Source organism: Homo sapiens, chromosome 6 (assembly GCF_000001405.40).
Source record: "Homo sapiens chromosome 6, GRCh38.p14 Primary Assembly".
Classification (NCBI taxonomy): Eukaryota; Metazoa; Chordata; class Mammalia; order Primates; family Hominidae; genus Homo; species Homo sapiens.
Genome location: NC_000006.12, coordinates 23,187,196 through 23,196,797, shown reverse-complemented (window position 1 = coordinate 23,196,797; position 9,602 = coordinate 23,187,196).

Sequence of the window (9,602 nt, the reverse complement as noted above, 5' to 3'; positions counted from 1 at the left end):
CCTGTGTCCCATTGCTTAGCATCTCACTTTGGGATTACTATAGTACTATATATGACTACACAATAATTATCAGAAGTGAGCATAAATATTGAATGCTGCAGTCTTTCCATATATTATCTCAGTGAAGGCAGAACTTCCTAAAAAGTGAACACATCTAACTGGTCAACCACTAAATTTTTTAGTGGCTTTTAAATTACTTTGTATTCTAAACTCTCTCGTTTTAGGCCATTCTTGCATTGCTAGAAAGAAATACCTGAGGCTGGGTTATTTATAAAGGAAAAGAGGTTAAATTGGCTCACAATTCTGCAGGCTGCAGGAATCATGGCACTGGCATTTGCTTGGCTTCTGGGGAGGCCTCAGAGAGCGTTTATTTATGGCAGAAGGTAAAAGGGGAGCAGGCACATCACAAGGCAAAAGCAGGAGCAAGGGAGAAAGAGAGAGGCACAGGAGGTGTCAAACACTTTTAAGTGATCAGGATCTTGTATGAACTCACAGTGAGATCTCACTTACTACCAAGGGGATGGCCCAAGCCATTCATGAGGGATCTGCCCCCCATGGTCCAAAACCTTCCACCAGGCCCCCACCTTCAACTTTGGGGATTTTAATTCATGAGATTTGGAAGGGGCAACCATCTAAATTATATCAATTGAATTATAAGCCAGCTGAACCAAAAATTATTAGGAAAAGCATACAGTTATCATACTGGAAGTGAAATAATATGCTTCTGAGTGTATCTAAACTATGAAGGGCTGGTTAGTTTTCCTACACTCAACATGGACTACTACAAACCAAAGAGCTGTCCATTAGTTACTCAGTTCTATCTCTTTTGCCCATTTAAGAGCAGACTGTAAGACTTAGCAAAGCTTAAAACTATCAGTTAAATTTAGTGGGTCATCTATGTAACTATAGAACATCTGTGTAAGTATTGGCACTGTTTGCCACAGAATGCACTAGTGTAATGGTTTTATAAATGGAGCAGCAGACAGAGAGTCCACGCTAACATGCAATAAAATCTTGATGATGCTCTGCTTAAACACAACAGAGTTCTGTAAGCAGCTGGCATTCCAGGGAATCTGGAAAAAACAAATAGTTCAGGCGAGCTGACAAATCCAAGAACACCCAAAAACTGAAGAGCAGAAAAGAGTCAACATCCAGTTGGCCTGTTTTCATCCAATAATGTACTGATGATGGCTATAGAAGTTAATACGCATGTAGAAGTTAAGAGTGTTGCAGTTTGAAACTGTTTATTTGAAAAGATCAAGGCACCACAATATTTATCATTAGGAGAGTTACAACCATTGCACTTCATGGAAATAAACTATAAATGGAAAAATGCTAGTGCAAAAAGATAGCAAGCAAAATCAGAAGGAGGGGGTCAACACTGTAGTCTATAAATAGTGATCAAGTATTTATCCAGTCTCATTCCAGTAGGTGTAAGTAAAAGAGAGAGAGAGAACTTACCCAGATTAGCACATAAAGCAGGTAATCAAAGCAATGCATATGGTAAGTTAATCATATGTTTCCTGTCTTGGAATATGGCCATTTCTAGTAATTTATGCATTCCACCCAGCTATAATATGTGTTATCTCAGACATGTATTTCTCTTTCTCTCCCTTCCTTCCTTCCATTCTCCCTCCCTCTTGCCGACCTTCCCTACTTCCTTCCTTTCCTCCCTACCTTTCCCTCTCTTCCTTCCTTTTTTTTTTTTTTGTTTGCAGATAAATTAATTGACTTCTTAGGCACCACTTTATCTCCAAAATTTGCAAAAATTAAACAGTTAAAGAGGAATAACTTGTTTGTTGGAAGGTGAATGCTTCAATATTATGGATATTATGATAATATTTTGCCTGTTAAAAAAAAATCTAAGAATTTTCTTCTTGACGTGGATATCCCAGATCCATACCTCTCCAATACAGTGTAACCCAAGAAGTCATTCAGAATTCAAATGAGTGCTTTCTTACAACTCATCATAAATGCAATTCCTGATTATATTTTTCAGAATGGCTGAATAAAAGAATCTGCCTTTTTTATACATTAGCTATTTTGTAAGCCCCTCAAGAACCAAAACTATGTCTGATTTCTGTTTAAAAGTATATTGTAATATTTAGCAAAGTTTAAGGTATCAATTCAATTCAGTGCATCATTTGTAACTATGGAATATCTGTGTTAGTACCAGTACTGCTTAAAGGTCATAAAACAAGAGTTAAGAAACAGTCTAGTTCATAGTTGCATTTCACATATCCACTATAGTGTATGACACAGAACAGACTCATAATTATCAATTGAATAAGTCAATCATTTCTTTGTTTCTGAAAACATAAAATGATAGAATATTAATCATTTACCTGTATGATTGAGATAATGTTTTAAAAATACTGAGCAGACATTTACATTTTTTCTTAATCATATATCCTTGCTATGTCAAACAAACATAAAATAATTGTAATATAGATGTGCTAACAAAGATAGAAAGGGATGGAAGTACGAAGTGAAAACTAAATATTCATGATGCATCAAATATACGAGGCTTATGGATCACTTAATATGCGTGAAGTCTTGTATCAGAAACCCATTGGTGGTAGAGATTCTTACTCTAAATATTCTTTTCGTGAGACACTCAAATAAAAATCTGTGGCCACTCAACAGTCATGGATAAACTACAGCTCTGAGATATGGCCAGCTGTACCTACCCCTGGGTCTCTCTGATAGAATGAGTATTTGAGTATTTGTGTTGGTCCCAGGCACATTCCATCTGCTGGACTCCCACATAAAACCTCAACTCCAATCCTCATAATTGCACCATTATTATGGAAAGCTTATGCCACAGAGAAAGAAATAGAATTCCTGAATATTGCATGATAACCTAGAATTCAGCTAGTGCGAGTTACTCTGTTTCTTTTCCTATGCTCCTCATTTTGTGTTCTAAATTAAGTAACTCATGTGATTGGCTCATTCACTTTGAGTCTATGAGACTTTCCGCTCCATGACTTGGGTATAATTTGCCTGGTTGTATACTTAGAGGCAACCATTGCATCAAAGTAATTTCCCACATAACAGAAGGCCATTCCTCCTCCCAAGGAAAAAGCTGGGACATGGAGAAAGGAGAAAGCTGCACATGGAGTTTGTGGACTGATGGATAGGACATGTGGTCCTTGCTTTCAAACTGGGGGAGGGATCAGTAATGAGATACATTGCAAAGGCTGTATGTCAAGCCCAGCCAGAAGCCACTTCAAAAACAAACAAATAAATAAAGGATGGGTGGAATAGACTAGCTTGAGGATGAGTCTCTGGGTTATCTGGCTTGCCAGGATCTGCCCAGTGTCTAGAGGAAGGTCAAAAAGGCTGATAGATCGGAAGAAGGTTGTGAGTATAGACAAAGAGGTCACAGTACAGGGAACTTCATTACCTAAGGCTGGTGGTAGAATAGTGGTGTCCAGTTCCTACCAAAAAATGCCCAAAATGCTAGATAGGACTTGGATCTACAGGTAAGATCCAGGAACCTCATCAGACAATGAACCAGAGAGAGATACTAAAAGGACCATCCTGACTATTCTCACCTAGACATCGTGGAGAAGATAGGCAGGGGGAATCTGAAACATCGAGACACGAGACAAAATCATTCAAGAGACTCATCAATTCCCCATAAATTAAGATACTATGCACTGGGCAAGTTCACAAAATTTATCATTTGTTTTTGTCCCAGTGGCCCTACGGCATGGAAGCGGGTAAAGAAAATGACATTGAAGACACTTAGAAGCTACGTTTTCTTTGTGCATATGAGTAGTATGTGAAAATATTTGGCCCATTTTATGTGGTTTACAAATACAAATCTTGCTTTTACCCCAATAATATAGAATCACTGAGTTACAAAGATTTAATCATCTAACAAGAAGCATTCATGTGGTTCATAGAACTCTAATTTATTCCCTAAAATCTTTAGTTAAGCTCTTTCAATAATTTGTGATTTATTACGTCTGAAGTAAGGCTGCTCAACTTTTTGACAGCCGTAATTCTTATGCAATACATTTTTATATTCATCCAAATTTACTTCTCAATAATTTCACCCCTTGCTCCTAGTTCTACTGCACTCTGGTGCAAAAGAGAAATTTGCTTTCTTATCCATATTTATTCAGCAAACATTTATTGAGTGCCTATTTTATAACATTGCATATTAGGTGCTGGAGGTTGCTATAAAGACTTAAAAATCATTACACATTCTTCTGTTTCAGATGTTGATATCTCAAAAGACTGTTGCTTTCATCTTTACAATTAAAACAAGCCAAATAGGTTACATCAACATAGTTGTAAAACTTTACCAGAATAGGACTCACACAAACATAAAAGAACTAAAACTCTAGAAAGTGGCAAAGCCTTTACAAGAGTGGAAAAAATTCTAGGCTTCTCTCATTGCTGCCTAAAGTGGAGGGGAGTGGGAATAAAGTTTCCATGGACAGGACTCAGGAGAAAGGAGTGTAACACTTAAACTTTTAGTGGCCATATGTGGGCTGACATGGCAGATTTGAACCCAGATGACTCCTGGGCAGTCTCAAATATTTAATGAGTGCTAATATCAGCACACCCAATATAGGCACAGGGAAAGAGAGCTGAGAGAAAGCTTTTGAGGTACTTTGTGCTTTCAGCTAAGGAGGTTGATGAGAAATACCCCTTTCCTGGCAATACCAGCCTCACAGATGGTAGGGCAACTACAGCTGAGGTCCAAGGCTGAGGATGGCTCAGAAGAGCTAAAAGAGATCACCCTCAACACAGCAGACAGTACTAGGCAGCAAAGAAATCCCCCCAGATATCCAAAATGGTGGCAGCAAGTGGCGATGTAGAAAGGGATCACCCACAGTTTAGAAAGGAAGTGGCTCTTCTGTGGACCACAGGCAGCTCTTCATAACCTCAATGAGGCTTAAATCCTAGGTCAAACCTATCCTCAAGATATTTGACTACAATGTTGAACTAAGTTAAACTGGCATTCTAACAAATCCCAGACCTCAACCACCAAGTATATTGACCCAGCCCCTACTCTAGCAAACTGACAGAAGGGGCATGTTTTTTCTGGAGATAGGTATCAATTACTTCAGTTTCTATTATGTTTTCATAAAAATGTTCAGCAAACAATTAAGAACAAAAACATACACAAAGGAAAACAATAAAAAGTCACCAAGAGTTAAGAAAGGAAATAATGGTAGCTGAATAAGAAAAGGCATGAATTTTGAGATTACCAAACATGAACTTTAAATTAACTATGATGAAACACTAATGTGAAAAAGGTAAACAACCTGTATAAAGTGATAATTTCAGCAGAGACATGGAAACTATCAAAAATAATCCAAAGAGATAAAAAATACAGTATGAGAAATAAGAACTTCAGATTTTGTCTCTCTTGGGTCAATGTTCTATCTTTCAGATCCCTGCTGCCTGATTTCCACGATGTCTAGGTAAGAACAGCCCAGATGGTTTTCGTAGTATCTCTTTCTGGAACTTAAGGCTGTACACAGCAAAGAAAATGATAGGGAAAGAAGAAAGGTCAAACAAAAATACCCAAACAAATCAAAAGAGAAAGAGAGTCAAAAGGAAGAAAAATAGAAGAACAGATCAGCCAAGTCCTGTTGAACAATATCAAATACTGACAATTTAAGGCAAAAATCATCCTAACGTTCTGCATGCAGTGTATAGCTTATGTACATGTATGTATTCTTGACATATTTGTAATATTCCCTAATGATGTAAGAGCTTATCATGTCTATAAATATCAAATTGTCACATTCATTTAACAAATTTTGTTTTTTTAGCTTATGTGGCAAGCAATGCACAACTTCTGAAAATATTAACGCATTAGCATTGAACACATATTCCCCTATGTGACAGTCAGCATTCTCCAGTAAACTGTTTGATTCTCCACCAGAAAACCATCAAACAAATTCTTTTCTGCATCAAATTAGATGCTTCCCAACAACGAAAATCTTAGCTGCTGTCTGTTTCTTAAGCTGCTGTTTCTAGCTTCTTATCCTTGCTTAAAGTTTCAACTGTCTAACATATTCTGGAACTTCTGTGGATCCAGGGACAAATGAAAACTTACCTAATGACTTTGTTTATTACTTGGAAGAGTGTGAGGTTAATTCATCTTCAAAAGGCCCAGATGTCTTTGGAAGGCTGAGGCAGGCAGATCACAAGGTCAGGAGATCGAGACCATCCTGGCTAACACGGTGAAACCATGTCTCTGCTAAAAATACAAAAAAATTAGGTGGGCATGGTGGCGGGCGCCTGTAGTCCCAGCTACTTGGGAGGCTGAGTCAGGAGAATGGCGTGAACCCAGGAGGCAGAGGTTTCAGTAAGCTGAGATCGGGCCACTGCACTCCAGCCTGGGCGACAGAGCGAGACTCCATCTCAAAAAAAAAAAAAAAAAGCCCAGATGTCATGTCCCTCCCCTGCCCCCATACCCTCATTATTATTTACTTCACAGTAAGGTTCTTTAATTTTTACATGGAAATCATCTTTGTGAAATCCTGGTTTGGGAATTTTTATCTGGAAGAGGAAGTAGCCACTGAGGCCTCTTCTCATTTCTTTAGTACATTAAAAATAATATTCTCGTTTCTAACTAATGCTGGCAAGTGCAAAGTATCCAAGTAAAATGTAATTCCTTTGTGTAAGGAAAAAGGATTAGATTACCTGACAAAAGTCAGCCCCATAAAATCATCATATTAAACTAGAATAACTATTTATTTAAATGTTACCAAAAAACAAGACTAACAAATAAGCTAAGAAACAATTTGAAAAACATGTTGTAGGTAAAACTAAAATGCCCCTTAAATCTTAGCAAGGGCCAAAGTTGCCTCCTCGAATATAAAGGAAATTGTATATAATGAGGAAATTTTTATGACAGAGGATAATGGTGCCTGATAAAGAATATAGGAAAGGAGGATGGTCACGAAACAAGGCTCAGAATAACAGCACAGATATTTATAGACTAAAAAAGGTTTATAATTCTCCTTTTTCAAAACTGAATGCATATGAAATGCCATCCAGAAAGGACTCCAAAATAAATAAATAAATAACTCATTTCAAATAAAATAATTACATAAGATGCCAATTAGTTTTGAAGTATAAAAACGATAGATAGCTCACCAATCACAGAAAGCCAACACATGCCTGTTGCAGTTTTCTGGCCTGACAATTACATTAAGATTCTTTTTGACAGAGCAATTCTCCACATCAAGACAGAACAATGACACTGGGGAGAAAAGCACCTTGACATAATTCTCAAGTCTCTTCTTCTTGCTACATTTCTAGACTAAGCAAGTCCTAGGTATTTTCCTTTTTTTTTTTTTCCTGTAGTCTGATTAATCAGAAAAGGAAGAAGTGAGACACAACATGTATCAATGTTAATAAATATCAACACTGGGCCACTCATATACAGAATTAATGTGAAGAATCATCTGTAAGAGAACTTTTCATCTCTAAGATTTGGAATTTTCTACGTTGTCTCTCATGAGGAAATATCAGACAGTGAAATGTACACTATTCTGAAAATCAGAAGGCTGTTTTTTAATCCACACCATGCAGCTAAACCACTTGGCATGGCTGACCCTCTGTCTCATTCTATAAAATGAGCCAGTTAGATTTTATTATTTCTGAAGTCTCTTCTATCTTTAAAATCTAGTTATGGAAGGACATCCTATTTAATATGGTCCTCAGAATTTCACTAAAGTTTGTAAAAATGTGGCCTGGATATATCTAAGCAAACGAAATTATAAGCAAAAAGATAAAATAGCTTATTTGAGAATTCTAGAATGAAATAGAAGTTGCTTTTCCTGATTGGATGCATCTAAGTTATTGAGATATTTGTATTTGTGAGCATGTGAGTATATGTATGTCTATGTGTATGTGTGTTTGTATGAAAGATTTTACTTGATTAATTTAACCTCTTTGTATAATACCGTTTCAATGAATTGTATTACAAACAAAAGATTCTAACATTACCATTGGGATGGCAGGAATCTCTAATACCTTAATCAGTGCGAACATATTTAAAACATTGAGCAGTAAACTCTGCCATCAATACAATAAAAACAATATCAAATTTCTCAGTATTAAATGAGTTTGAAAGCTATAAAATCAACATAGTTTGCATAAAATCTGAAGAAATGAATTATTCTTACATAAATACCATATTTGGCAGTCAAAAACAAACAGTACTTATTAAAATATATTTTCTTATAATTCCTGGCACTCTGTATTATTTAAAAGAATGGCTAGACTGAACTAAATTAGCCAGAAATATAAGAGGCTTTAATATTGATTCCCAATGCAAAACTTCCCAAATATCCTTTGTTAACAAAATGAATATTGCAAATTTAAAAGGTACTCATATTTTCTCATGGCTTCTTCTATCACTATAAGAGTTGTATCCTACTTTTTGCAACTTTCTATTTTGAAATGATTCACAAGAAGTTGCAAAAACGTTGCAGAGAAGTCCCTTGTGCCTGTCACCCAGCTTCCCCTCAATGGTAACATGCATAACTAAAGCGTATTATCAAACCAAGAAATTGATTGACACAGCACAATTAACTAGTCTACAACTATTACTTGGATTTAACCAGTTTTGCATGCATTTGTATTTTTTTGTTAATTATTTTATATTAGCTTTTACTTTCAGAGATGGTGTACCAACCTTTCCAACCTTTCATTTTGTTCTGTAGTAATTTGAAACCTTAATGGTTAAAAGGTATAGGCTTTTGGGGTTTTTTTTTTTTTTTTTTTGCATGCCTTGAATAATCAGTATGCCTTATGGACTTAAAATGAAACTCTAGGCATAGAATCAGCTATATGGGAAGCAGTGATTAATATTTAGCTTACCAAAGTAGATTTCTAAAATATTTTAGCTATCTGTGCTATCTATGGTGAGGGACTCAAGCAGTGAATTAAATCCTATCTCACATTAGAGACCATTAAGATATTCATTGATTTAGGAGATGCGTATTGAGCAGCTTATTCTGAGCAAAGAAACCACATCAGACAATGTAAGAGATAAAAAAGCAGTTCCCCAGTCATCAAGGGACTTTTATAATATGGCAGGGAAAATACCATTGTAGAAAAATAAATAAAATAAACTGCAGAGATTGAGAAGTAGTTTGGGTGAGGGAGAGGCACGAGGGAATGCCCTTATGTTTGTGGAGAGTTTGGCATGCGATAATCTTCCCTAGCCAAGACCAAGAAGTTTGAAATTACACGACTAGTTTAATATCTCTACCCCAGTACTCTCTGGCCTTCCACCTTGACATGCAATCCCACCTATGTTATCTTTATTACCACAGTTTAGAAACCTACTCCAATGTGTTTATTTTTAGAAGTAGAACGTCCCCTTCAAAACTACCGAACCTCAGAATAAGGACAAAAATGACATCTTCATGAATTTTTGTAACTTTTTTCTTTGTTGGCTGGTATATTGGTTGGTTCACTTTTTTTTTTTCCTGTTCTAACTCACAAAATGTATACAGCTTTCTCAACAGTAGAGTTGACTATTCATGGGGAATGCTAACATTGCATTTACTTGAAACTAATGTCAAGCTCCAGCCTTTAGTTGATAAGACTGAATA